This window comes from Homo sapiens, chromosome 3 (genome assembly GCF_000001405.40).
Source record: "Homo sapiens chromosome 3, GRCh38.p14 Primary Assembly".
Lineage (NCBI taxonomy): Eukaryota > Metazoa > Chordata > Mammalia > Primates > Hominidae > Homo > Homo sapiens.
Window position 1 is genome coordinate 49,931,048 of NC_000003.12, and position 25,231 is coordinate 49,956,278.

At 47.3% G+C, this 25,231-nt stretch overlaps 1 protein-coding gene across 13 annotated transcripts in view, besides 7 other annotated features; it reads left to right on the forward strand.

The window, feature by feature from the left end:
* Positions 8,733 to 9,255: an enhancer, noted in NCBI's record as "H3K27ac hESC enhancer chr3:49977213-49977735 (GRCh37/hg19 assembly coordinates)". NCBI's record gives its function as "activates a minimal SCP1, AML or CMV promoter by ChIP-STARR-seq in primed H9 embryonic stem cells {active_cell/tissue: H9 hESC(primed)}" and the evidence as "EXISTENCE:reporter gene assay evidence [ECO:0000049][PMID:30033119]".
* Positions 8,964 to 9,023: an enhancer, noted in NCBI's record as "active region_19884". NCBI's record gives its function as "activates an Ori minimal core promoter by ATAC-STARR-seq in GM12878 lymphoblastoid cells {active_cell/tissue: GM12878}" and the evidence as "EXISTENCE:reporter gene assay evidence [ECO:0000049][PMID:35858748]".
* Positions 9,054 to 9,103: an enhancer, noted in NCBI's record as "active region_19885". NCBI's record gives its function as "activates an Ori minimal core promoter by ATAC-STARR-seq in GM12878 lymphoblastoid cells {active_cell/tissue: GM12878}" and the evidence as "EXISTENCE:reporter gene assay evidence [ECO:0000049][PMID:35858748]".
* RBM6 (RNA binding motif protein 6) overlaps positions 9,103 to 25,231 on the forward strand; it is a 137,100-nt gene continuing 120,971 nt past the window's right edge. For 11 of the 13 annotated variants that reach the window (NR_146071.2, NM_001349192.2, NM_001349193.2 and 8 more), the window contains exon 1: positions 9,103 to 9,178. The gene's annotated coding sequence lies outside the window, so the exon portion shown is untranslated. Of the gene's footprint in view, positions 9,338 to 25,231 lie in introns of all 13 variants that reach the window. The other 2 variants (XM_047447131.1, XM_047447137.1) reach the window with 1 other exon arrangement.
* Positions 9,134 to 9,193: an enhancer, noted in NCBI's record as "active region_19886". NCBI's record gives its function as "activates an Ori minimal core promoter by ATAC-STARR-seq in GM12878 lymphoblastoid cells {active_cell/tissue: GM12878}" and the evidence as "EXISTENCE:reporter gene assay evidence [ECO:0000049][PMID:35858748]".
* Positions 9,256 to 9,777: an enhancer, noted in NCBI's record as "H3K27ac hESC enhancer chr3:49977736-49978257 (GRCh37/hg19 assembly coordinates)". NCBI's record gives its function as "activates a minimal SCP1, AML or CMV promoter by ChIP-STARR-seq in primed H9 embryonic stem cells {active_cell/tissue: H9 hESC(primed)}" and the evidence as "EXISTENCE:reporter gene assay evidence [ECO:0000049][PMID:30033119]".
* Positions 9,334 to 9,533: a silencer, noted in NCBI's record as "silent region_14378". NCBI's record gives its function as "represses an Ori minimal core promoter by ATAC-STARR-seq in GM12878 lymphoblastoid cells {active_cell/tissue: GM12878}" and the evidence as "EXISTENCE:reporter gene assay evidence [ECO:0000049][PMID:35858748]".
* Positions 16,143 to 16,212: a silencer, noted in NCBI's record as "silent region_14379". NCBI's record gives its function as "represses an Ori minimal core promoter by ATAC-STARR-seq in GM12878 lymphoblastoid cells {active_cell/tissue: GM12878}" and the evidence as "EXISTENCE:reporter gene assay evidence [ECO:0000049][PMID:35858748]".

A 25,231-nucleotide genomic window follows, 5' to 3' on the forward strand; every position in this document is an offset into this window, starting at 1 on the left:
GGGCAGTGTCCTTTTCCTCTCTAAGCCCTACACTGGAGTTAGGGTAGAGCTCCGCCCCTGGGCTTTTCTTCCAGTCTCAGATGGCTGCCACTTGTAGCCTGCTTCCACAACACTGGCCTGTGACTGACATGGTGACAAAGCTGTGGCCTTTCACTGAAGATGGCTTTGCATAAGGCTATCAAGTTCTTGCACATAGTCTAAGGGAAGCTTTCTCACCCCCATGTCCCCCACTTTTAGGTAAGGACATAAGAAAATGCCCTATTCCTTAACTGAGAGTCTCTCCAGGTCTCCACAGATCACTCAGTATTTTATCTCCTCATTAGCTCAGAAGTCCAAGTTCCCTCCCTTAGGGCAAGAATCATTTATACAGTTGTTTTCTCTAATTATTACACTATAAGAGTTTGAGCCATGAGCTGGGCTTGGTGGCACAGCCTTGTAATCCCAATTACTCCACAGGCTGAAGCAGGAAGAATTACTTGAGCCCAGGAGATCAAGTCTGAAGTGAGCCATGATCATGGACAACAAGAAGGAGAAAGTTAAGAAAGAAGGAAGGAAGGGAGGGAGGGAGGAAGGAAGGAAGGAAGGAGAGTTTAAGTCAAGATATAACATTCTCTGCTTGGTACAGAAATGTCCTGGCTATGTTCCTTTCCTTTTTCTTTTTCTTTTTTTATTTTTTTTTTAGAGATGGTGGTTTCACTATGCTATGTTGACAAGGCTGGTATCGAACTCTTGGCCTCAAGCAATTTTCCCATCTTGGCCTCCCAAAGTACTGTGATTACAGGCATAAGCCACCATGCCTGGCTAATATCCTGCCTATATTTCATTAACTTGAATTTACACCCTATAGAATTCATCTCCATAGAAGACAAATTAATTTAATTTACTTATTTTTTTTCAAATGAAGTCTCTATCATCCAGGCTAGAGTGCAGTGGTGCCATCTCAGCTCACTGCAACCTCTGCCTTCTGGGTTCAAGTAGTTCTCTGCCTCAGCCTCCCGAGTGGCTGGGATTACAGGTACCTACCACCACGCCCAGCTAATTTTTGTATTTTTAGTAGAGACAGGGTTTCACCATCTTGGCCAGGCTGGTCTTGAACTCCTGACCTCGTGATCCACCCGCCTCAGCCTCCCAAAGTGCTGGGATTACAGGCATGAGCCACCACACCCCGCCCAGAAGACAAATTTAAAGTTTTCTTTTTTTTTTTTTTTTTGAGACGGAGTCTCGCTCTGTTGCCCAGGCTGGAGTGCAGTGACGTGATCTCAGCTCACTGCAACCTCCGCCTCCCGCGTTCAAGCAATTTTCCTGCCTCAGCCTCCAGAGTAGCTGGGATTACAGGTGCGTACCACCACGCCCGGCAAATTTTTGTGATTTTTGTATTTTTAGTAGAGACATGTTTCACCATGTTGGTCAGACTGGTCTCGAACTCCTGACCTCGTGATTCATCCATCTCGGCCTCCCAAAGTGCTGGGATTACAGGTATGAGCCACTGCGCCCGGCCAGTTTTTTGTTTTGTTTTGTTTTTTTGAGATGAAGTCTTGCTCAGTCACCCAGTCTGGAGTGCAGTGGCACTATCTCGGCTCACTGCAACCTTAGCCTCCCACGTTCAAGCGATTCTCCTGCCTCAGCCTCCCAAGTAGCTGGGACTACAGGCATGCACCACCATGCCCAGCTAATTTTTTTATTTTTAGTAGAGATGGGGTTCCACCATGTTGGCCAGGATGGTCTCAATCTCTTGACCTTGTGATCCGCCCGCCTCGGCCTCCCAAAGTGCTGGGATTACAGGCGTGAGCCACTGCGTCCAGCCTAATTTTTGTATTTTTAGTAGAGACGGGGTTTCACCAATGTTGGCCAGGCTGATCTCGAACTCCTGACCTTGTGATCCGCATCCACCCACCTCGGCCTCCCAAAGTGCTGGGATTACAGGTGTGAGCCACTGCGCCTGACCAAATTTAAAGTTTTCTACCTAACTAGTTCTTGACAGTCTCCATGTTTAGCTCAGGATTTCTTCCAGAGTCTTACTATTCCTGTTAAGCACATCAGCTCCACCAGATAGTACTACTGTCATCTGGAAGTATTACATCTACTTAGCTAAGCAAGTGGCCATATATCTCATATATTTCTCGCTAAGACTTGTGCCTAAGACATTCTCGCAGAGCAAATCATGGTGGGTACTTACTAAAACATCTTAGGTTATTACTTAAAACTTTGTTTTAATCCACTTTTTTTTTTTTTTTTGAAACGGTGTTTCACTCTTGTTGCCCAGGCTGAAGTGCAATGGTGCGATCTCGGCTCACCACAACCTCCTTCTCCCGGGTTCAGGCGATTTTCCTGCCTTAGCCTCCCAAGTAGCTGAGATTACAGGCATGTGCCACCACACCCGGCTAATTTTGTATTTTTAGTAGAGATGGGGTTTCTCCATGTTGGTCAGGCTGGTCTCGAACTCCCGACCTCAGGCAATCCACCCACCTCGGCCTCCCAAAGTGCTGGGATTACAGGCATGAGCCCCCATGCCCGGCCTTGTTTGTTTTTTGAGTCAGGGTCTTAATCTGTCACCCAGGCTGTAGTGCAGTGGCTCACTGCAGCCTTGACCTCCTGGGCCTAAGTGATCCTCCCACTTCAGCCTCCCGAGTGGCTGGGACCACAAGTGTGTGCCACCACATTGGGCAAGTTTTAAATTTTTTGTAGAAATGGCGTCTCCTTATGTTGCCCAGGCTGGTCTGGAACTCCTGGGCTCAAGCAATCCTCCTACCTTGGCCTCCCAAAGTGTTGGGATTACAGGTGTGAGCCACTGTGCCTGGACTGTTTTTATTTTTATATTGAGACAGAGTCTCAATATGTTGCCCAGACTGGCCAGGAACTACTGGGCCCAAGCCATCCTCCCACATCAGCCTCCTGAGTAATTAAGACTACACACCCAGCAAGGATACACTTGAGTTATAACCTTGCAGCACCTCAGGTTCTGACATCTTCACTAAAGCTAGAAAAGAGAAGAAATATGGGGAAGAACAAGACGTCTAATTGTTACATTTCTTCCGCCTTCACTTTTCAGCTGTGGCAAGTTACTTAACCTTTCTGGGCTCTGGTTTCCTTAACTATAAAAGGGGAGGCAGGGAGTGGTGGTTCATGCCTATAATCCCAGAACTTTGGGAAGCCGAGGTGGGTGGATCACCTGAGGTCAGGAGTTCGGGACCAGCCTGGCCAAGATGCTGAAACCCCGTCTCTACTAAAACTACCAAAAAATTAGCTGAGCATGGTGGTGTGAGCCTGTAATCTCAGCTACTCAGGAGGCTGAGGCAGGAGAATCGTTTGAACCCTGGAGGTGGAGGCGGAGGCGGAGGCAGAGGTTGCGGTGAGCCGAGATCGCGCCACTGCACTTCAGCCTGGGTGAAAGAGCAAGACTGTCTTGGAAAAAAAAAAAAAAACTATAAAAGGGGATAATATTGGCCAGGCTAGTGGCTCATGCCTGTAATCCAGCACTTTGGGAGGCTGAGGCAGGTGGTCATGAGGTCAAGAGATCAAGACCATTCTGGCCAACATAGTGAAACCCTGTCTCTACTAAAAATACAAAAATTAGCTGGATGTGGTGGCATGTGCCTATTGTCCCAGCTACTCGGGAGGCTAAGATGGAAGAATCGCTTGAGCCGGGGAGGCGGAGGTCACAGTGAGCCGAGATTGTGCCACTGCACTCCAGCCTGGTGACAGAGCGAGACTCCATCTCAAAAAACAGGGGATAATGTCATATAGTTATTACGAGGATTAAATGAAATCATAGATGAAGTGCCAGCACCATGCCAGGCACGTGGTTTGATAAAGTGTAGCAATTATTATTACCCAAGGAGATTGGGCCTAAACCAATAATAATTAGTTCCTTAATATGGTATATACCTCTTAAGAGGATAAAGTATTATCTGATAAGTGAAAGATCCATCAGTAAAGGCCTAGGGCCTAGTTTGAGAAGCAAAGTCAAAATACCCATAATTCTTTTTTTTTTTTTTTTTTTTTTTTTTTAGACAGTCTCACTCTGTTGCGCAGGCTAGAGTGCAGTGGTGTGATCTTGGCTCACTGCATCCTCCACCTCCCAGGTTCAAGCGATTTTCCTGCCTCAGCCTCCTGAGTAGCTGGGATTACAGGTGCCTGCCACCATGCCCAGCTAATTTTTGCATTTTTATTAGAGATGAGGTTTCACCATGTTGGCTAGACTGGTCTCAAACTCCTGAACTCAGGTGATCCACCCACCTTGGCCTTCCCAAAGTGCTGGGATTACAGGCATGAGCCACCGCACCTGGCCAAAATACCCATAGTTCTGTTCCTCCTCTTCCCTGAAACCTGTTAGCACTGGTGTGGCCTAGGTGTTCAAGGCTTAAACTTTGCTTTCCCATCTCTGCTTACTCCTTTACTCCCTTGGTTATCTCATCCAGGCCTGTGGCTTTAGATATTAGCAACATGCTGATACCTCCCAGATTTGCATCTCTAGTCCTGATCTTTATCCTGAACTCCAGACTGATGGAACCGACTTCCAGCTCCACATCTCACTTGTCTACTGGTTATTAGAAAACTCTACCTACCCAAAACTGAGCTCCTGCTCTTCCTACCAAAACTGTTTCTCCCAAATTCTTCCCTATCTTCCTTCATTCCAGTCCAACAGGTCTGTCTCCTGTTTCTACTGTGGCCACACTGCTGCAAGCACCATCCTTCTGTGGTTGGAATTTTTTTTTCCTTGAGATGGGGTCTTGCTCTGTTGCTCAGGCTGAAATACAGTGGCATGATTGTGGCTTCTTCCAAGTCTTGTAGGCTGCTGAATTTGGTTTCTGTAAGGAGGGAGATGGAAAGTTGTTAGAGGGCTCTGAACAGAGAGATATCATAACCTGAATTCCATGTTAACAGGATTCCTCTGATTGCTGTGTGGAAAACAGACTGAAGGTGGGAAAGGGGAGAAGCAGAACAGCTAGTTGGGAGGCTGCTGCAATAATCCAACCACATTGTTTGAACCCAGGAGTTCGAGGCTGTAGTGAGCTATGATCGTGCCACTGTACTGCAACCTCCACACCTTTCTGACCAAGACTGACTTGTCTCATCACACTTCTCCAAAACAATTCTGTTCCAGACTCCTTAATGATCCTTAAAAATTCTAGTCATGCTCATACCTCAGGGCCTTTGGCCTTGCTATTCTTTCTGTTCAGAACATTCTTTCCCCAGGTATCCCAATAGCTTGGTTCTCATCTTCTTTGGGTCTTTATTCCAAGAGCTCAGTGAGGCCTTCCCTCACTGCTCTAAAGTTACAACTTCCCACCAGAACTCCTCACTCTCCTTCCCTCCCTTATTTTTCTCCATAGCATTACCACCACCAGAGAGATTGTGTATCTTTTTTTTTTTCTTTTTTTGAGTTGGAGTCTCTGTCACCAGGCTGGAGTGCAGTGGCACAATCTCAGCTCACTGCAACCTCTGTCTCCAGGGTTCAAGCAATTCTCCTGCCTCAGCCTCCCAAGTAGCTGGGACCACAGGCACACGCCACCAAGCCCAGCTAATTTTTGTATTTTTAGTAGAGACGGGGTTTCACCATGTTGGCCAGAATGGTCTCGATCTCTTGACGTCGTGATCTGCCTGCCTCGGCCTCCCAAAGTCTGGGATTACAGGCGTGAGCCACCACGCCCAGCCTTTGAGACAGTCTCGCTCAATTGCCCAGAGCTGGAGTGCAATGGTGCGATCTTGGCTCATTGCAACCTCTGCCTCCCGGGTTCAAGTGATTCTCCTGCCTCAGCTTCCCGAGTAGCTGGGATTACAGGTGTGTGCCACCATGCCTAGCTAATTTTTGAATTTTTAGTAGAGACGGGGTTTCACCATGTTGGCCAGGCTGGTCTTGTACTTGTTAACTCATGATCCACCCACCTCAGCCTCCCAAAGTGCTGGGATTACAGGCGTAAGCCTCCATTCCTGGCCTAAGTGTACTTTATTTTTGAATGTTTAATGGGCTTTTCTTGCAGAAGACTTTTTTGATCCCATAATGTTGAATTTAGGCTATAAAATCAGGTTACCTTCCCTAAGGGCCCACTGACAGGAACACCAGATGGCCAAGACTAGCAAGTCTTTCAACAATGTAGACAGTACACCTAAGAACTTCAAGCTGGCAGTTGGAAGAACATTAGGTTGAAGATGCTGGAAACGAGCTGCAAATCGAGTTGTGTTGCCCCGTTTTCTGCTAGATTGCTGACTTGCAGTTTCCTTCCAGCTCCTCTGTGACCTTGCACAAGTCAGTCTTGGCCAGATTTATTGCCCAAGAGCTAGCAAGACCTGTGGAAGCTGGGTGGCTTTTCCTTTATGGGTTGAACCTTTAACACAGATGAAGTTTTTTTTTTTGTTTTGTTTGTTTTTGAGATGGAGTCTTGCTCTGTCCCCCAGGCTGGAGTGCACTGGTGTGATCTCACCTCACTGCAACCTCCACCTCCCGGGTTCAAGCGATTCTCCTGCCTCAGCCACCCGACCAGCTGGGGATTACAGGCGCCTGCCACCGTGCCTGGCTAATTTTTGTATTTTTAGTAGAGACGAGGTTTCACCATGGTGGTCAGGCTGGTCTTGAACTCCTGACCTCAGGTGACCCGCCCACTTTGGCCTCCCAAAATGCTGGGATTACAGGCATGAGCCTGTCTGCTATTCTTGAGCAGGGAATACATAATTTGGAAACTCATCAGAAGGAAAAGGGGCTGAGTGGAGGGGAAGGAAATTGCTTTAGTTCAGGAGTTCGAGACCAGCCTGGGCAACATAGTGAGACCTTGTCTCTAAAAAAAAGAAAGAAAGAAAGAAAAAGAATAGATTATGAGCAAATGCATGGAGATAAAGGAAAAGGGGATGAGCCTCCATGACATATTGATTCTCTAATCCAAGTTTTTCTGTTGTACCTATTGTCAGGTTTCAGGTAGAAGGGCTGGGAGGGCCAGGAGCCAGGGCCTTCTGTGGGTGCACGGCCATCAGCCCCTTTTCTTTCTTTCTTTTTTTTCAGACGGAGTCTTGCTCTGTCGCCCAGGCTGGTGTGCAGTGGCGCAAATCTCGGCTCACTGCAAGCTCCGCCTCCCGGGTTCATGCCACTCTCCTGCCTCAGCCTCCCCAGTAGCTGGGACTACAGGCGGCTGCCGCCACGCTCGGCTAATTTTTTGTATTTTTAGTAGAGACAGGGTTTCACCGTGTTAGCCAGGATGGTCTCGATCTCCTGACTTCGTGATCCGCCCGCCGCGGCCTCCCAAAGTGCTGGGATTACAAGCGTGAGCCACTGCGCCCAACCTCTTTCTTTTTCTTTTTTGAGACGGAGTCTTGCTCTGTTGTGAGGCTGGAGTGCAGTGGCGCGATCTCGGCTCACGGCAACATCCGCCTCCCGGGTTCAAGCAATTCTCTGCCTCAGCCTCCTGAGTAGCTGAGATTACAGGCATGCGCCACCACGCCCGGGTAATTTTTGTATTTTTAGTAGAGACGGGGTTTCACCATCTTGGCCAGACTGGTCTTGAACTCCTGACCTCGTGATCCACCCGCCTCGGCCTCCCAAAGTGCTAGGATTACAAGCGTGAGGCACTGCGCCCGGCCTCTTTCTTTCTTTCCTTTTTTCTGAGACGGAGTCTTGCTCTATTGTCCAGGCTGGAGTGCAGTGACACAGTCTAGGCTCACTGCAATCTCTGCCTCCCGGGTTTAAGTGATTCTCCTGCCTCAGCCTCCCGAGTAGCTGGGATTACAGGCGCCTGCCACCAAGCCCGGGTAATTTTTTTTTTTTTTTGCGACAGTCTCCCTCTGTCGCCTAGGCTGGAGTGCAGTGGCGCTATCTCGACTCACTGCAAGCTCCGCCTCCCGGGTTCACGTCATTCTCCTGCCTCAGCCTCCTGAGTAGCTGGGACTACAGGTGCCCGCCACCACGCTCCACTAATTTTTTGTGTTTTTAGTAGAGACAGGGTTTCATCGTGTTAGCCAGGATGGTCTTGATCTCCTGACCTCGTGATCCACCCGCCTCGGCCTCCCACAGTGCTGGGATTACAGTCGTGAGCCACTGCGCCCAACTTCTTTCTTTCTTTCTTTCTTTTGAGACGGAGTCTTGCGCTGTTGCCAGGCAACAGTGCAGTGGCGCGATCTCGGCTCACTGCAACCTGTGCTTCCCGGGTTCAAGCAATTCTCTGCCTCAGCCTCCTGAGTAGCTGGGATTACAGGCATGCGCCACCACGCCTGGCTACTTTTTGTATTTTTAGTAGCGATGGGGTTTCACTATCTTGGCCAGGCTGGTCTTGAACTCCTGACCTCGTGATCCACCCACCTCGGCCTCCCAAAGTGCTAGGATTACAAGCATGAGCCACTGCGCCCGGCCTTTTTCTTTCTTTCTTTTTTTCTGAGGTGGAGTCTTGCTCTATTGTCCAGGCTGGAGTGCAGTGGCACAGTGTCGGCTCACTGCAACCTCTGCCTCTGCCTCCCGGGTTTAAGTGATTCTCCTGCCTCAGCCTCCCGAGTAGCTGGGATTACAGGCACCTGCCACCAAGCCCGGGTAATTTTTGTATTTTTGGTAGAGATGGGGTTTCACCATGTTGGCCAGGCTGGTCTAGAACTCCTGACCTCAGGTGGTCCACTCGCCGCGGCCTACCAAAGTGCTGGGATTACAGGCGTGAGCCACCGCGCCCCGCCAACCAGCTGGAGATGGCTTAAACTTACTCCCGAAGAAGCTCCCTTCCATTTCTCTCACACTAACGGACAATAAGGAGGCCTCGAGCTAGGCAGGCCAGGGCCGTACCCGAGCTGCTGGCAGGGAGCAAACCTCAGGAAAGTCAAGCCACCAAAAAACTGTAAGCCTCAATCAACTGAGAGGAAAGCACAAGAGGACCAGGTGTCACAGGGCAGAGGCCAAACCACAACTCCCAGCAGGTCACGCGGAGTAGGGCGGGTAAGCGCGCCTTCTTATTGGATGGCGATGGACAGCGTGCTCTTACGACCCACCCCAGAAGGCAAGTCCCCTGCGCGCGGGGCACGGCGGGAGTAAGAGTCTGCGGGACCGGCAGCTGTACTTCATCTCCCAGCGGGCCGAGCGCTGAAGGCAGCGGCGCGGCGCCTTTGTGGTAGCAGTGGCCCCGCGCGGAGGAAGTTCCGGTGTCCGCGGCGCTGGGTCGGTGGCGGAGGCTGAGGAGAAGGAGGAGCGGGCCGTGGAGGCTTCGCCGCCTAGGTAAGGGCCCGGGACTGGAGGGGAGGCGTGCCAGAGCCTGCCAGGGAATAGCCAGCAGACAGGCCCGCTCTAGACATCGCAGGCCCGCGCAGCCTGAAAGCTGTGGCTTCAGTGTCGCGGGGCGGCTGCGGCCTCGCTCGGGAAGAAGACCAAGCAACGGTGAGATGAGGGAGGCGCCGCCCGTGGCAGGAACGCCCCGGAACCGTCGCGGGCCTGGGGCGGGGCCCGGCGCGGCAGTAGATTACCGGTCCCGCCGCGGAGCGGCCAGCTGTGAGGCTGGGGCCGGCGCGTGGTTGCGGCTCTGTGCTCCTACTCTTCGGAGCTGTAAGCGGGCTGTTCTTGCGGTTTTCCTGTTTCAGATCCAATTCTGTGGCATCACTAGGAAGGGAGCTCTTGTGCTTAGCACGTAGCCTCGTCCTCAGACTTGGACAGACACAAGGGAGGCTCCGCTGGACCGGAGGGCACAAGAGCTCCGAGCCCGGTCGTCGGGGCGGTAGAACCTGGAAGCGGGAGAGTGGTCTGGTGGGTTCTGCGCCCGTTAGGCAATGAAGGAGAAGGATGTTTTATCGTATTCACGCTTTAGATTCCATTAGCGGTGTAAATAGATGTTTTTCTCTTTATTTTAGAATTGACGTTAGGCGAATGGGTTCAACTTTGGGAATGCCTTTTTTTTTTTTTTTTTTTTGAAGGAAGGGCCCTGTTTCGTAGGGTACATAAACCGTGAGCGTAATTGTATTTTTTGCATATTCCAGGTTTGCTTGTGAAGGTCAGAGTAGCCGGATTTAAGTGAAGGAGTTCAGTAGACATGCAGACATGGTCACCTGGTTCATTTTCTGAACCCTGGATTGTGCCCTCGGCTTGCTAGTTTCCACCTTCCTATTGAGAAATGCCACCAGCGTGAATGATTTAAATATGTCACCATTACTGAATTTGTGAGGTCTCTAACGAGAGGTGTCAAGAGCTGGTGCGTGATGGTAGGACTGGCAGTGAAGAAAGTAACTAAATAATATGTTACCATTTTGGTGAAACACAAAAGTTGAATTTGAACCTTGTCTCAGAAACTAGCATCTAACTAGATACCTAACCTGCAGGACAGGTCCCAGGTCTCTCTGGATAGTTGTAGCACCTTTCCTTATAGAATTCTATTACCAGGCCGAGCCTGGTGGCTCACACCTGTAATCCCAGCACTTTGGGAGGCTGAGGTGGGGAGTTCGAGACCAGCCTGACTAACATGGAGAAACCGCGTCTCTACTAAAAGTACAAAATTAGCCGGGCATGGTGGCACATGCCTGTAATCCCAGCTACTTGGGAGGCTGAGGCAGGAGAATCGCTTGAACCTGGGAGGCGGAGGTTGCGGTGAGCTGAGATTGCTCCATTGCACTCCAGCCTGGGCCACAAGAGTGAAACTCTGTCTCAAAAAAAAAAAAAAAAAAAAAAAAAAAAAACCCGCAAAACTCAACAAAAACCAACATAGTAGAGGCAGCGTTTCGCCTTATGCCCAGCTAATTTTTTGTATTTTTTTAGTAGAGGCGGAGTTTCGCTATGTTGGCCAGGCTGGTCTTGAACTACTGACCTCAGGTGATCCACCTGCCTTGGCCTCCCAAAGTGCTGGGATTACAGGCGTGAGCCACCGTGCCCGGCCCTGTTATAGTATTTCTAAAACAAATTGTGAGCCTGGGCAACATCGCAAAACCCTGTCTCTACAAAAAATACAAAAAAAAAAAATTAGCCAGGCGTGGTGGCATGCTCCTGTTAGCCCTAACTACTCAGGAGGCTGAGATGGAAAAATCGCTTGAGCCGGGGAGGTAGAGGTTGTAGTAAGGGGAGATAGTGCCACTGCACTCCAACCTGGGCCACAGAACAAGACTGTCTCAAAAAAAAAAAAATCAATTAAATAAATTGTGGTAAATATATATTTTTATGTATGTTTATGTATATTTTAACAAAATTTGCTCTTTAAACCATTGTTAAGTATACAATTCAGCCAGGCACGGTGGCTCACGCCTGTAATCCCAGCACTTTGGGACGCCGAGGTGGGCGGATCACGAGGTCAGGAGATCGAGACCATCCTGGCTAACACGGTGAAACCCCATCTCTACTAAAAATACAAAAAATGAGCCGTGCGTGGTGGTGGGCGCCTGTAGTCCCAGGTACTCAGGAGGCTGAGGCAGGAGAATGGTGTGAACCCGAGAGGCGGAGCTTGCAGTGAGCCGAGATTGCGCCACTGCACTCCAGCCTGGGCAACAGAGCGAGACTCCGAGACTCCATCTCAAAAAAAAAAAAAAAAAGTATACAATTCAATGGTATTAATTACATTCACAATGTAGTACAAGCAATACCACTATTTCTGAAACTTTAGTATCTCAAACAGAAACTCTGTAACCAGGGAGGGCATGGTGGCTCACGCCTGTAATCCCAGCACTTTGGGAGGTCAACGTGGGCAGATCACTTGAGTTCAGGAGTTCAAGAACAGCCTGGCCAACATGGTGAAACCCCGTATCTACTAAAAATACAAAAATTAGCCATGCATGGTGGCATGCATCTGTAACACCAGCTACTAAGGAGGCAGAGGTTGCAGTGAGCTGAGGTCATGCCATTGCACTTCAGCCTGGGCTGCACAGCCAGACTCCATCTCAAAAAAAAAGAAAAAAAGAAACTGTAACCATTAAACAAGTTAACTTCCCATTTCCTCCTCTTAATCTCTAATCTACTTTGTGTCTGTCTGTGAGTGTGCTTGTTCTAGGTACTGCAAATACTAAATGGAATCATACAGTATTGTCCTTTTTTGTGTCTGGTTTATTTCACTTAGTGTAATGGTTTCAAGGTTGATCCATGTTGTACTGTGTATCAGAATTTCATTCCTTTTTAAGGCTTAATCCGTTGTGTGTGTACACTACATTTTGTTTATTAATTCATTTGTAGCAGACACTTGGGTTGCTTCTGCCTTTTGACTATTGTAAATAATGATGCTGTGATCATTGGTGTACAAATATCTCTTTGAGTCCCTGCTTTGAATTCTTTTGGGTATATACCCAGAAGGGAAATTGCTATATGGTAATTATTATTATTATTAATTATTTTATTTATTTTTTTTTGAGACAGGGTCTTGCTCTGTTGCCCAGGCTGGAGTTCAGTGGCACAGTCATGGCTCACTGCAGCCTCGAACTCGAGCTCAAGCAGTCATCCCGCCTCAGCTTCCTGAGTAGCTGGGACTACAGGCATGGGCTGCCACAACCAGCTAATTTTTTTGTTTAATTTTTATTTTTTGTGATGAAGTCTTGCCTTGTTGTCTAGGGTGGTCTCGAACTCCTGAGTTCAAGTGATCCTCCTGTCTTGGCCTCCCGAAGTGCTGGCATTACAGGCATGAGCCACCACATCTGGCCCATAATTTTTTTATTTTAATTTTTTTGTGGAGACAGGGTCTCCCTATGTTGCCTATGCTGGTCTCAAACTCCTGGCCTCAAGCCATTTTCCCTCCTTGGCCTCTCAAGGTACTGGTATTACAGGCATGAGCCACTGCACCCAGTTGATACTTGGTTATTATATGTTTAGCTTTTTGAGGACCCACCATACTGTTTTCCTCAATGGCTGCATCGTTTTACATTCCCACCAGTAATACACAAGGGTTCCAATTTTCCCACATCCTCCCCAACACTTATTTTCTGTTTTTCCTTTTTTGATAAATTTGTGTGTGTATATGTGGTTTTTTATTTGTGTGTTTTGATGATAGCCACCCTAATGGGTGTGAAGTGGTATCTCGTTGTGTTTTCTTGGTTTTTGCTTGTTTGTACCTTTTTACCCATTTTTAAGTGTGCTACTTAGTAGTAGTAAGTACATTCTTCTTTTTGTGCAACCATAATAAAAATCCAGCTTCAGAACTTTTTTCATCTTCCCAAACTGAGTTTCTGTACCCATTGAATAGTAACTCCCTATTCTCTCCTCCCCTGACAATCACCATTCTGCTTTCTGTCTCTATGAATTTGACTACTCTAGGTATCTCATGTAAGTGGAATCATATAATATTTGATCTTTTGTGTATGGCTTATTTTACTTAGCATAATATCTTCAGGATTCATCCATCTTGTAGTATGTATCAGAATTTTATTCCTTTTTAAGGCTGAGTAATATTCCATTATACATATATACCACATTTTGTTTATCCATTTATCTATTGATGGACATTTGGGTTGTTTCCACCTTTTTGCTCTTGTGAATATAATGGTGCTATGAATATCAGTGTACAAATATCTTTTTTTTTTTTTTTTTTGTGAGACAGTATCGCTCTTGTCACCCAGGCTGGAGTGCAGTGGCGCGACCTTGGCTCACTGCAACCTCTGCCTCCTGGGTTCAAGGCATTCTCCTGCCTCAGCCTCCCGAGTAGCTGGGATTACAGATGTGCGCCACCATGCCTAGCTAATTTTTTTATTTTTAGTAGAGAAGGAGTTTCGCCATGTTGGGCAGGCTGGTCTTGAACTTCTGACCTCAGGTGATCAACCTGCCTCGGCCTCCCAAAGTGGTGGAATTACAGGTGTCAGCCACCGCGCCCAGCCACAAATATCAAGTCTTTACTTTCATTTCTTTTGGGAATATATATACTCAGAAATGGAATCGACAATTGACAGAGCAAATGGTAATTCTATGTGTAATTTTTTTTTAAATTTTTTTTTTTGAGACGGATTCTTGCTCTGTCGCCCAGGCTGGAGTGCAGTGGCGTGATCTCGGCTCACTCCAAGCTCCGCCTCCTGGGTTCTTGCCATTCTCCTGCCTCAGCCTCCCGAGTAGCTGGGACTACAGCATCCGCCACCACGCCCGGCTAATTTTTTGTATTTTTAGTAGAGACGGGGTTTCACCGTGTTAGCCAGGATAGTCTCCATCTCCTGACCTCATGATCTGCCCGCCTTGGCCTCCCAAAGTGCTGGGATTACAGGCGTGAGCCACCGCGCCCGGCCAATTTTTTTTTTTTTTTTTTTTAGACAGGGTCTTGCTCTGTTGTCCAGGCTGGAGTGCAGTGGTGCAGTCACAGTTCTCTGCAGCCCTGACCTTCTCAGTTCAAGCTATCCTCTCACCTCACCCTCTTAAGTAGCTGAGACTACAGGTGCATGCCACCATGCCTAACTAATTTTTTTATTTTTTTGTAGCTGTGGGATTTCGCTAGGTTGCCCAGGCTTTATGTATCATTTTTTGAGGAACTGCCTTACTGTTTTCCACACTGGTTGCACCATTTTACATTCTGTTAGCAGTGTACAAAGGTTTTGTTATAGACTGAATTGTGTCCCCCTGAAAATTCACGTGTTGAAGCCCTAAGCCCCAGTGTGACTGTATTTGGAAATAGGACCTTTACAGAGAAATTAAAAAGTTAGAAGATATCATAAGGGGCTGGGCGCGGGTGGCTCATGCCTGTAATCCCAGCACTTTGGGAGGCTGAGGCAGGCGGATCACAAGGTCAGGAGATCGAGACCATCCTGGCCAACACGGTGAAACCCCGTCTCTACTAAAAATACAAAACATTAACCGGGCGTGGCGGCATGCACCTGTAGTCCCAGCTGCTGGGGAGGCTGGGGCAGGAGAATGGCGTGAACCCGGGAGGCACAGCTTGCAGTGAGCCAAAATCGCGCCACTGCACTCCAGCCTGGGCGACAGAGCGAGACTCCATCTCAAAAAAAAAAAAAAAAAAAAAAAAAGAAGATATAAGGATGAGACCTTAATCCAGCAGGACTGCTGTCTTCGTAAGAAAAGGACTGGATACCAGGAGTGCGTGTACAGAGAGAAAAAGCTGCATGAGGACAGAGGTAGAAGGGGGCTGCCTGCAAGCCAAGGAGAGAGACCTCACCTAAAACAAACCTTGCTGACACCTTGATCTTGGACTCCCAGCCTCCAGAGCTGTGAGAATAATTTCTGTGGCTTAAGCCTTCCACTCCATGGTATTTTGTTATGGCAGTCCTAGCATACTGTGTAATATAGGTTTCAATTCAGTTTCTCTGCATCCTCCACATCCTGGCCAACACTTGTTATTTTCTTTCTTTTTTTTTTTTGGAGACAGATTCTCGCTCTGTCACGCAGGCTGGAGTGCAGTGGCACAATCTTGGCTCACTGCAACCTCCACCTCCCGGGTTCAAGCGATTCTCCTGCCTCAGCCTCCCGAGTAACTGGGATTACAGGCAGCCGCCACCGTGCCCAGCTAATTTTTGCATTTTAGTTGAGATGGTGTTTCTCCATGTTGGCCAGGCTGGTCTTGAACTCCTGACGTCAGGTGACCCGCCAGCCTTGGCCTCCCAAAGTGTTGGGATTATAAGCATGAGCCACCGCGCCTGGCATTTTCTTTTTTTTTGAGACAGAGTCTCACTCTGTTGCCCAGGCCGGAGTGAAGTGGCATGATCTCGGCTCACTGCAACCTCTGCCTCCCAGATTGAAGCAATTCTTGTGCCTCAGCCTCCCGGGTAGCTGGGATTACAGGCGTGTGCCACCACGCCTGGCTAATTTTTGTATTTTAGTAGAGACAGGGTTTCACCATATTAGCCAGGCTGGTCTTGAACTCCTGACCTCAAGTGATCTGTCCACCTTGGCCTCCCAAGGTGCTGGGATTACAGGTGTGAGCCATCTCACCCGGCCTATTTTCTGTTTCGTTTTTTTTTTTTTCATTAGTAGCTATCCTAGTGGATGTGAAGTGGTATCTTATTGTGGTTTCTGATTTGCATTTCCCTGATGATAAGTGATGTTGAGCGTCTGTTCATGTTCTTATTGGCTATTTGCATATTCTCTTTTGGAGAAGTATCTATTCATGTCTTTTGTTGACCATTTTAAAATGGGGTTTTTCATCCTGGCTAACACGGTGAAACCCTGTCTCTACTAAAAATACAAAAAAAAAAAAAAAAAAAAATTAGCCGGGCGCAGTGGCAGGCGCCTGTAGTCCCAGCTACTCGGGAGGCTGAGGCAGAAGGATGGTGTGAACCTGGGAGGCAGAGCTCGCAGTGAGCAGAGATTGAGCCACTGCACTCCAGCCTGGGCGACAGAGCGAGACTCCGTCTCAAAAAAAAAAAGGGGGGGGGGGGGGGTTTTGAGCTGGGTGTGCAGGTGCACACCTGTATTCCCAGCTGCTCAGGAGGCTGAGGTAGGTGGATCTCTTGAGCCCAGGTGTTTGAGGGTGCAGTGAGCTGTGATTGCACCACTGGACTCTACCCTGGGTGACAGAGTGGCCCAGTCTCTAAAAATAAAATAAAATTAGGTTTTTGTCTGTGTTGTTGAGTTTTAGGAGTCCTTTATACACTCTAGATATTAATTCCTTGTCAGATATTTGACTTACAAATATTTTCTCTCTGTGGTTGTCTTTATACTCTGTTGATAGTGTCTTTTGATGCACAGAGGTTTTCATTTTGATGAAGTCCAATTTATCTTCTTTTTTTAAAATCTGTGCCTCATCTGCAAATATTACCAATCGAAAGTCATGAAATTTTTCCCCTAAGATTTTATAGTTTTAGCGCTTACGTTTGGGTCTTTGATCCAATTTGAGTTAATTTTTTATATATTTTTGTTGTGTAAGAGTCCCACTTTATTGTTATGCATGTGGATATTCAGTTTTCGGAGTACCATTTTCCATTTGGGAAAAAGATTGTACTTTCCCCATTGGATGGTCTTGACACCTTTGTTGAAAATCAGTTGACTAAAGTTCAAGACTAGCCTTGCCAACATGGCAATATCCCGTCTGTACTAAAAATACCACAATTAGCTGGGCATGGTGGTGCCTGGCTGTAATCCCAGCTACTCGGGAGGCTGAGGCAGGAGAATCGCTTGAACTGGGAGGTGGAGGCTGCAGTGAGCTGAGATTGCGCCACTGCCCTCCAGCCTGGGCGACAGAGCGAGACATGAGAATCTGTCTTAAAAAAAAAAGAAAATTGACCATATATGTGAGGATTTATTTCTGGTCTCTCCATTCAGTTGATTGGTCTTTATGTCTATCTTTATGTCCTTACTGCACTGTTGTGATGGCTGTAGCTAAATGGTACACTTAAAAATGGTTAAAATAGGCCAGGCACGGTGGCTCACGCCTATAATCTTAGCACTTTAGGAGGCTGAGGTGGGCAGATTGCCTGTGCTCAGGGGTTCGAGACCAGCCTAGGCAACATAGTGAAACCCCGATTTTACTAAAATACAAAAATTAGCTGGGTGTGGTGTGTGCCTGTAATTCCAGCTACTCAGGAGGCTAAGGCACAAGAATTGCTTGAGGCCTGGTGCTGTGGCTCACGCCTGTAATCCCAGCACTTTGGGAGGCCGAGGCAGGTCAAGAGATCGAGACCATCCTGGCCAATGTCATGAAACCTAGTCTCTACTAAAAATACAAAAAATTAGCTGGGTGTGGTGGCGCGCACCTAGTCCCAGCTACTTGGGAGGCTGAGGCAGGAGGATCACTTGAACCCAGGAGGTGGAGGTTGCAGTGAGCCAAGATTGCGCCACTGCACTCTAGATTGGCAGCAGAGTGAGACTCTGTCTCAAAAAAGAAAAAAAAAAAAAAGAATTGCTTGAACCCAGGAGGTAGAGGTTGCAGTGAGCTGAGATTGCACCCTGCACTCCAGCCTGGGCAACAGAGTGAGACTATTTACATACCCAATTTTTTTTTTTTTTTTTTTTTGGGATGGTGTCTTGCACTGTCGCCCAGGCTGGAGTGCTGTGGCGTGATCTTGGCTCACTGCAACCTCTGCCTCCTGGGTTCAAGCAATTCTCCTGCCTCAGGCTCTCAAGTAGCTGGGTTACAGGTACCTGCCACCACGCCTGGCTAATTTCTTGTATTTTTAGTAGAGATGGAGTTTCACTATATTGGCCAGGCTGGTCTCAAATTTCTGACCTTGTGATCCGCTGGCCTCAGCCTCCCAAAGTGCTGGGACTACAGGTGTGAGCCACCACGCCTGGTCATACCCAAATATTTTACCATAATTATACAAGAATTTATTATTTTTATTTTTTTCTTTTTAAATTCTTTAATCTTCTTCATTTGTTAATGCTTTGCTGAATCATAAAAAATTATGAAATAAAAAGAATAGGTCTTGTTGATTCTTCTTTTTACTTACCTCCCCCTACTTACCCCCTCTTACTTTATCAAAGAAAACACTTCATTTGAAACTTAACGGAAGTACATTCTCCCAGAGAGGAAAATCCTTCAGGACAACATTTTTTTTTGTTTGCTTGTTTTTTTTGAGACGGAGTCTCACTCTGTCCCCGAGGCTGGAGTGCAGTGGTGTGATCGCAGCTCATTGCAACCTCTGCCTCCCGGGTTCAAGCGATTCTCCTGCCTCAGCCTCCCGAGTAGCTGGGACTACAGGCGCCTGTCACCATGCCCTGCTAATTTCTGTATTTTTAGTAGAAACAGTTGGCCAGGATGGTTTCAATCTTATGACTTTGTGATCTGACCACTTTGGCCTCCCAAAGTGCTGGGAATACAGGCGTGAGCCACAGTGCTCAGCCAATTTTTTGTATTTTTAGTGGAGAAAAGGTTTCACCGTCTTTGCCAGGATGGTCTTGATCTCCTGACCTCGTGATCCGCCCGCCTCCCAAAGTGCTGGGATTACAGGCCTGAGCTACCACGCCCAGCCTTTTTATTTTTTTATTTTATTTATTTTATTCTCAGCCTTCTGGGTAACTGGGACTACAGGTGTATACCACCACGCTCAGCTAATTTATGTATTTTTAGTAGAAATGGGGTTTCGCCATATTGGCCAGGCTGGTTTTGAATTCCTGGTCTCAAGTGATCTGCCTGCCTCCGCCTCCTAAAGTGCTGAGATTACAGGCATGAGCCACTGGCCCAGACTACACTTAAAATTTTCAAATCGAGATATTTTGGGGGGCAAGGGTGCTTCTAGCAGCCACTAATTCCAGTTCTTGAGTGCATATTAAAGTTGCTACTGTTTAAAAGCTTGTAGTTGGATCCAGGGAGTGGGTAGGCGGTCAGAGTAACCCTTGCTTCTTGGTGTCTCCTTGATGCTCTTAGCTGAATGTCCTGTGTAGCCCACAACATTTACTTTGGGAAAAAATTAAGAGTGTTTAAAGCAGGATCAAGCTGCTGCATACCACAGCTAAAACTACTAGAATAAGACCCCTGGTTCTGTTTCATTGTTTTTTGGAGCTAAAGTCATGATTAAGAAGGATGGCCTGGGATATTGGTACTGTGCTGCTAGAGGTGCAATTCCTGGTTCTTTGCAAGATAGACCAGAGTGAAAGCATTTGTTAGGAATGTTTTTATTAATCAAGAGTGAAAGGCAAGGCCAGGCGTGGTGACTCAGGCTTGTAATCCCAGCACTTTGGGAGGCCAAGGTGTGGGATCATTTGAGGTCAGGAGTTCAAGACCAGCCTGGCCAACATGGTGAAACCCCGTCTCTACTAAAAATACAAAAATTGGCTGGGTGTGGTGGTGCATGCCTGTAATCCCAGCTACTCGGGAGACTGAGGCAGGAGAATCGCTTGAATCCGGGAGACGGAGGTTGCAGTAAGCTGAGATCATGTCACTGTGGTACAGTCTGGGTGACAGAGGGAGACTGTTTCAAAAAAAAAAAACAGAAAGAATGAAAGGCAAAACATTAAAAATAGAATTACCATGTGATCTAACAATTTTACTTCTGGATATATATCCAAAATAATTGAAAACAAAGAAAAAGAAAAACAGAGTCTCGATGAGATATTTGTACCCATGTTCATAACAGCGTTATTCACATTAGCTAAAATGTGGAAGCAACCCAACTATTCATTGATGGATGAATAGATAAGGAAAATGTGGTATGTACATATAACTGAAAAATTATTCAGTGTTAGGAAGGAAGGTAATTCTGACATATGCTACAACATGGATGAACCTTGAGGATATTATGCTAAGTGAAATAAGCCAGTCATGTAAAAGACAAATACCATATAATTTCACTTAGACACTTTGAGTAGTGAAAATCATAGAAACAGAAAATAGTTGTCAGGGATGGTGTGAGGGATGAATCAGCAGTTACTATTTCTTTTTGTTTGTTTGTTTTTTGAGATGGGGTCTTGCTCTGTTGCCCAGGCTGGAGTACAGTGGTGTGATCTTGGCTCACTGCAACCTCTGCCTCCCAGGCACAAGCCATCTTCCCACCTCAGCGTCCTCAGTAGCTGGGACTACAGATGTGTTCCACCTTGTCCGGCTGATTTGTGTGTGTGTATATGTGTGTGTGTGTGTGGAGACAAGGTTTTGCCATGTTGCCCAGGCTGGTCTCGAACTCCTGAGCTCAAGCATCAAGCAATCTACCTTTTTCAGCTTTCCAAAGTGCTGGCATTACAGACAAGGGCCACTGTGCCTGGCCTTTACTATATTTTATTTTATTTATTATTTATTTATTTATTTATTTATGTATTTTGAGATGAAGTCTCACTCTGTTGCCCAGGCTGGAGTGCAGTGGCACGATCTTGGCTCACTGCATCCTCTGCCTCCCAAGTTCAAGTGATTCTCCTGCCTCAGCCTCCAGTTATTATTATTATTATTATTATTTTTTTGTTGTTCTGTTTTTTTGAGGTGGAGTCTCGCCCTGTCGCCCAGGCTGGAGTGCAGTGGCACAAACTCGGCTCACTGCAACCTCCATCTCCCAGGTTCAAGTGATTCTTCTGCCTCAACCTCCCAAGTAGCTGGGAATACAGGTGCCCGCCACCACGCCTGGCTAATTTTTGTATTTTTAGTAGAGACGGGGTTTCACCACATTGGTCAGGCTGGTCTTGATCTCCTGATCTTGTGGTCCACCTGCCTCGGCCTCCCAAAGTGCTGGGATTATAGGTGTGAGCCCCCATGCCCTGCCTTGTTATTATTATTATTTTTATTTTTTTGTCTGAGACGGAGTCTTGCTCTGTCACCCAGGCTAGAATGCAGTGGCACGATCTTGGCTTAGTACAACCTCTGCCTCCCGAGTTCAAGTGATTCTCCTGCCTCAGCCTCCCGAGTATATAGGACTACAGGTGTGTGCCACCATGGCTAATTTTTGTATTTTTAGTAGAGATGGGGTTTCACCATGTTGGTCAGGATGGTCTAGATCTCTTGACCTCGTGATCTACCCGCCTTGGCCTCCCAAAGTGCTGGGATTACAGGCATGAGCCACTGCGCCTGGCCCCAGTTTTTGTATTTTTAATAGAGACAGGGTTTTGGCATGTTGGCCAGGCTGGTCTCAGACTCCTGACCTCAAGTGATCTGCCCACTTCAGCCTTCTGAAGTGCTGGGATTAAAGACATGAGCACTGTGCCCAGCCACTTTTACTATATTTTAAATTAGGTTACTTATCCTTTGTTTTTTTTTTTTTTTGAGACGAAGTTTTGCTCTTGTTGCCCAGGCTGGTGTGCAATGGTGCATCTCGACTCAACGCAACCTCTGTCTCCCGGGTTCAAGTGATTCTCCTGCCTCAGCCTCCCGAGTAGCTGGGATTACAGGCATGCATCACCACGCCAGCTAATTTTGTATTTTTAGTAGAGACAGGGTTTCTCCATGTTGGTCAGGCTGGTCTCAAACTCCCGACCTCAGGTGATCCACCTGCCTTGGCCTCCCAAAGTGTTGGGATTACAGGCGTGTGCCACTGCTCCTGGCTTATTTTTCTTTTTGTTACTGAGTTGAAATCATTTTTTATATATTTTAGATACAAGTCACTTACCAAATATGTAATTTGCACAAATTTTCTCCCATTCTGTGGGATGTCTTTTCATTTAAACCAAAAAATTGTAGAGATGGGGGTTTTGCTGTGTTGCCCAGGTTGGTCTTGAACTCCTGGTCTTAAGTGATCCTCTGACCTTGGCCTCAAAAAGTGCTGCGATTATAGGCATGAGCCAATGTGCGCAGCTTACCTTTTCTTCTTTTCTTTTTTTTTGAGGCAGGGTCTTGCTCTGTTGCCCAGGCTGGAGTGCAGTGGTGCAATCATGGCTTACTGCAGGCTGAAACTCCCATGCTCAAGTGATCCTCCCACTTTAGCCTCCTAGGTAACTGGGACCTTAGGGGCGTGCCATCACACCTTGCTAATTTTTTTTTTTTTTTGAGATGGAGTCTTGCCCTGTCGCCCAGGTTGGAGTGCAGTGGAGCGATCTTGGCTCACTGCAAATTCCACCTCCCGGATTCAAGTGATTCTCCTCCCTCAGCCTCCTGAGTAGCTGGGACTACAGGCGTGTGCCACCACGCCCAGCTAATTTTTGTATTCTGAGTAGAGACGGGATTTCACCACATTGGCCAGGCTGGTCTCGATCTCTTGACCTCGTGATCTGCCCGCCTTGGCCTCCCAAAGTGCTGGGATTACAGGTGTGAGTGTGAGCCACCGAACCTGGCCTTTTTTTTTTTTTTTGAGACCGTCTCTGTCACCCAGGCTGGAGTGCAGTAACATGACACAATCTCCGCTCACTGCAACCTCTGCCTTCTGGGTTCAAGTGATCCTTCTGCCACAGCCTCCTGAGTAGCTGGGATTGCAGGCATGTGCTACCACGCCTGGCTAATTTTTGTATTTTTAGTAGAGACGGGGTTTCACCATGTTGGCCTACCTGGTCTTGAATTCCTGACCTCAGATGATCTGCCCGCATCAGCCTCCCAAAGTGCTGGGGTTACAAGCGTGAGCCACCACGCCTAGCTGGACCTGACTAATTAAAAAAAAAATTTTGTAGGCTGGGCAGGGTGGCTCACACCTGTAATCCCAGTACTTTGAGAGGTGGAGGCGGGGTAATCGCCTGAATCAGGAGTTTGAGACCAGCCCGGGCAACATAACGAAACCCTAGGTCTACCAGAAATACACAAAAAAATTAGCCGAGCATGGTAGTGCACATTTGTAGTCCCAGCTACTCAGGAGGCTGAGGTGGGAGGATGGCTGGAGCCAGGGAAGCAGTGGTTACAGTGAGCCGAGAATGTGCCACTGCACTCCCGCTTGGGTGACAGAGTGAGATAAGGTCTCAGAAAAAAAAAAAAAATTTATAGGCCGGGCGCAATGGCTCACGCCTGTAATCCCAGCACTTTGGGAGGACCAGGCGGGCGGATCACAAGGTCAGGAGATCGAGACCACCCTGGCCAACATGGTGAAACCCCGTCTCCACTAAAAAAATACAAAAATTAGCTGGGCGTGGTGGCACGTGCCTGTAGTCCCAGCTACTTGGCAGGCTGAGGCAGAAGAATTGCTTGAACCCTGGAGGCGGAGGTTGCAGTGAGCCGAGATTGCACCATTGCACTCCAGCCTGGGCGACAGAGCGAGACTCCATCTCAAAAAAAAAAAAAAAAAAAATTTGTGAAGACAAGGTCTCAATATTTGCCCAGGATGGTCTGAAACTTCTGGGCTCAAGCCATCCTTCTGCCTCAGCCTCCCAAAGTATTGGAATTACAGGTGTGAGCCACTGTGTCTGGCCTATTTATAGACTCTTAATTCTGTTTCCTTGGTCTGTATGTCTATACTATGTCAGTGCCACACTGTCTTGATTACTGTAGCTTTGTGGTGAGTTTTGGAATTGGGAAGTGTCAGTCCTCTAACTTTGTTGTATATATTCTTTTCTGTTTTGCACAGATATCAGGTTACAAATATTTTGCACACTTTTTTTTTTTTTTGAAATGGAGTCTTACTCTGTCACCCAGGCTGGAGTGCAGTGGCGCGATCTCAGCCCACTGCAAGCTCCGCCTCCCAGGTTCACACCATTCTCCTGCCTCAGCCTCCCCAGCAGCTGGGACTGCAGGCGCACACTGCCATGCCCAGCTAATTTTTTTGTATTTTAAGTAGAGACAGGGTTTCACTGTGTTAGCCAGGATGGCCTCGATCTCCTGACCTCGTGATCCGCCTGCCTAGGCCTCCCAAAGTGCTGGGATTACAGGCGTGAGCCACCGCACCCGGCCTTGCACATGTTTTTAAAACTTAATACATAATAGCTTATCCTGTATCAATTAACATAGCTACTTTATTTATTCTTAGGGCCGCATAGTATTTTTTTTTCTTTCTTTTTTTTTTTTTTTTTTTTTTTTGAGACTGAGTCTCGCTCTGTTGCCCAGGCTGGAGTGCAGTGGTGTGATCTTGGCTTAAGCAACCTCTGCCTCCTGGGATCAAGCCTCGGGATCCTCCTACCTCAACCTCTGCAGTATTTGGGACTACAGACACCTGCTACCACACCCAGTTAATTTTCGTATTTTTTTGTAGAGATAGGGTCTCTATTGATGTGCATTTAGGCTTTATAATATTTATATATATATTTTTTGAAACAAAGTTTTGCTCTTGTTGCCCAGGCTGGAGTGCAGTGGCATGATCTTGGCTCACTGCAACCTTCGCCTCCCAGGTTCAAGTGATTCTCCTGCCTTAGACTCCCGAGTAGCTGGGATTACAGTTTTTAAAAAATGTATCCTAGGCTGGGCGCAGTGGCTCACGCCTGTAATCCCAGCCCTTTGGGAGGCTGAGGCGGGTGGATCACCTGAGGTTTGGAGTTTGAGACCAGCCTGGCCAACATGGTGAAACCTCGTCTGTACTAAAAATACAAAAATTAGCTGGGTGTACTGGCGGGCACCTGTAATCTCAGCTTCTTGGGAGGCTGAGACAGGAGAATCTCTTGAACTTGAGAGGCGGTGGTTGCAGTGAGCCATTGCACTCCAGCCTGGGTGTCAAGCAAAACTCTGTCTCTCTCTCTCTCTGTGTCTCTCTCTCTCTCTCTGTGTGTGTGTGTGTGTGTGTGTGTATATGTATATATATTCTGCCAATATTTTGTGATTAGAGAGTTTAAAGTATTTACATTTAAAGTAATTACTGATAAGGACTTTTGCCATTTTGCTACTACTTTTATGTTTAGCTGATTTTTTTTTTTTTGGTAGTGAAAAAAAATTTTTTTTTTTTGAGAGCATGAGACTGTTGCCTAGGCTTTGGTGAGCAAAATAGTGCAGTGCCACAATCTCAGCTCACTGCAACTTTGGGCTCAAGTGATCCTCCTGTCCCAGTCTCCTGAGTAGCTGGTAGTATAGGTGTGCCACCACCATGCCTGGCTAATTTTTGTATTTTTTGTAGAGATAGGGTTTTGCCATGTTGCCCAGGCTGGTCTCAAACTGGGTTCAAACAATCTACCTGCCTTAGCCTT